The sequence below is a fragment of the Homo sapiens genome, chromosome 4, assembly GCF_000001405.40.
Source record: "Homo sapiens chromosome 4, GRCh38.p14 Primary Assembly".
Taxonomy (NCBI): Eukaryota; Metazoa; Chordata; class Mammalia; order Primates; family Hominidae; genus Homo; species Homo sapiens.
Window position 1 is genome coordinate 55,173,746 of NC_000004.12, and position 3,204 is coordinate 55,176,949.

The 3,204-nt window shown below is 41.6% G+C and overlaps 1 annotated feature.

Moving 5' to 3' along the window:
- Positions 1,750-2,949: an enhancer, noted in NCBI's record as "MED14-independent group 3 enhancer chr4:56041662-56042861 (GRCh37/hg19 assembly coordinates)". NCBI's record gives its function as "activates an origin of replication core promoter dependent on BRD2, BRD4, P300/CBP and CDK7 cofactors, and independent of MED14, by STARR-seq in HCT116 cells {active_cell/tissue: HCT116}" and the evidence as "EXISTENCE:reporter gene assay evidence [ECO:0000049][PMID:35650434]".

Below are 3,204 nucleotides of genomic sequence, written 5' to 3' on the forward strand. Positions count from 1 at the left end.
TTATCTAACAGCAAAGTTGTATAACTCACCCCTCTATTTGCTAGCTGTGTGATTTCTGATGAGTCACTTAACTGTTCTGAAGTTCAGTGTCCTCATCTATAAAACGGCAGTAACAAAGCCTACAAAATCTGCTTCCATATTGTGTTGAGAATTAAATGAATTTATGTGTATATTTACCACACACAAAGATATATTTCTCTTCTTTACCTCAGTTTTGGTTGGCTTTTGGTAAAATGCTTATTATGACTGGGTTATTGTAAAAATTAAAAGAGGAAACATGAAAACACTTTGGAAACCATAATTAATCATTGTTATTCTCAGATATGGTTTTTCTTTTTTGTGTGTGTGGTTATTTTGTGTGTGTGTGTGTGTGTGTGTGTGTGTGTGTGTGTGTGTGTGTGTGATGGAGTCTTACTCTGTTGCCCACACTGGGGTGCAGTGGCGCAATCTCAGCTCACTGCAACCTCCCCTCCTGGGTTCAAGTGATTCTCCTGCCTTAGCCTCCCAAGTAGCTGTGATTACAGGCACCTGCCACCCGCCCATCTAATTTTTGTATTTTTAGTAGAGACAGGGTTTCACCATGTTGGCCAGACTGGACTCAATCTCTCGACCTCAAGTGATCCACCCACCTCAGCCTCCCAAAGTGCTGGAATTACAGGCGTGAGCCACCACACCCAGCCTCAGATATGTGTTAAACAAAGATATATGACCAGGTAGTCTAGATTAACTATATATCATAATTTACCAGTTGTCAGATGGGCAAAGATAAAAATGTTTGAGAATATACTGTGTTAGAAAATGGAAGGGAAATGAGAACACTCATACATTGCTTATGGGTGTGTAAATTGTCACATCCTCTAAGGAGAGAAACTGGATTACATTTCTCAAGGTTAACCATGTAAATAATTTTTTTTTTAAATGGAATCTCGCTCTGTGGCCAGGCTGGAGTGCAGTGGTGCAATATCGGCTCACTGCAACCTCCAATTCCCTGGTCCAAGCGATTCTCCTACCTCAGCCTCCTGAGTAGCTGGGATTACAGGCACGAGCCACCACGGCCAGCTGATTTTTGCATTTTTAGTAGAGCCGGGGTTTCACCATGTTGGCCAGGATGGTCTCCAGCTCCTGACCTCATGATCCACCCACCTTGGCCTCCCAAAGTGCTGGGATTATAGGCATAAGCCCCCACACCCAGCCATAAATATTCTTTGACCCAGTTTTTCCAACTCCTTAAGTGTGAAAAAGACAAGTTTATTTATTATAGTATCGTGTAAAAATTTGGACGGAAAAGTTGGAAACAATCTGAAGGTCCAGCAACAAGAGCTGCTTCTATAAATGAAGTTTTTTACAACAAAATACCATAAATCACTACTTTTAAAAATCTCTTTATGTAGTGATGTAACACAATTGCCAAGACACATTGCTAAGTGGAAAAAAGGGTGCAGAACAGCGTTTCTATTATGCTATGGCACATGCCTGCGTTGCTCACGCACACACACACTCCCCTGTGTATGTGTATTCTTATTTATGTATAGACCAGGACTGTGTGATAGAAATATAATGCAAGCAACAAATGTAAGCCACATGTGTAATTTTAAATGCCCTAGTAGCACAAAGAAATTAAACAGATAAAATGCATTTAATGATATCCAAACTATTATCAACATGTCAACATGCAATCAATATAAGAATTATTTATGAGATGTTTTACATTCTTTCTTTCATAAGACTTTAATACGGTATGCGTTTTACACTTGTAGCACATCTCAATTCAGATTAGCCACATTTCAAGTGTTGTATGGCTACACACAAGTCAGCACACATGGCCACAGCTACCTTATTGGACGTTAAAGGCATAGTCGTCTCCACAAGAAAATGGTAACAGCAGTCACCTCTGGAGAGAAGAACCTCTCTGGATACCTGGGTAAGAGGAAGAACTGCTCTTCATTCTATGCCTTTTTGAGCTTTTCAAATTTCATGCCTTGTGCATTGCCTTTTCTGAATAAAATGAGTAAAACAGTTTTACAGCAATTCTTTACAGTAACTTCTTATTCACTCTGCCATACAAATAGGGACGGATGATTCATACAATGTGAGGACAATTATCAGCAACCAATGACTCTTTCTTACTCCCTGGAGTCTTGTCATTGCTTAGTAATTTAAGGAATCCGTCTCAGGGACAAGCAACAGTTTGCCACTGAGAGAATGGAGTCAGGTTGGGGACACATTCCCAAACTGGAAATTCATCAAATTAGAAACAGGGTTTTGTAACTAATTTATAGCTGAGAAAATGAAATACGAAAGGATCCTAGCTGGTGGGGATCCTCTCACACATCCCTACCATGAGCTCAGAGAAGCCTCCATGTCAGGACACAGCCGGAAACTGCAGGGGGCACGTGAAGGCAAAGACAGGAAGAAGAGGACAGGAAGGAGAGGTGAGGAAAGAGGAGGTTTCCATAAACAGGAAACCACCAGGTGGCCTTTTCACCTCTTAAATCTTGAGGGAGACAAGCGGAGAACCCCACTCCCAACCAAGAGAGAGGACCTACCGTTTCCCAATCAGCGGAATGTGGAAATGCTCAACAGGACTGAAGTGAGGTTAAACTCTCTTCCTCTAATTCTTCCCCGAGTGGCAAGGTGGGTTATCAGGAGGGAGAAAGAGCAGGGTGGATGGGTGGGTTGATGGGAAGGGACATGGGATGCATCCGTGGGATTTCACAGATGCTGGCAGGACATAGGATGGAGTGGGGCAGTAGTCAAGGCAAGAGCTGTGGCTGTGTAGAAATATCAGCGATCAGGACACTCATCAAGGCATTGTTCATGACCTGATCACACTGAAGACTGCCTCGATGCTTTCATTTGGAGGGTATTTGTGATGTAATTCAGGGTTAAAAGCAAATTTTAAAACAATAGGACACTGTAATTTCACTCGTAGAAATAAACACACACACACATATAACACCTACAGTCACATGACTGGACAGATATTTATTAAAACAAAAAGGGAAGTGATGGGACTAGAGATGTTTGCTGATTTTCCTTTTAGCTTACCTGTATTTTCCAGAGTTTTCACCAGTGAGCTCATATTCATTAGCAATAATGTGGAGGGGGTCACAGATTTCTCTCACAACCGTTGGACATACAGAAAAGAGGGAGTTTCCTTATTTGAACTGTAACTAACCCATTCTTCTTTACAATCCCCAGTTG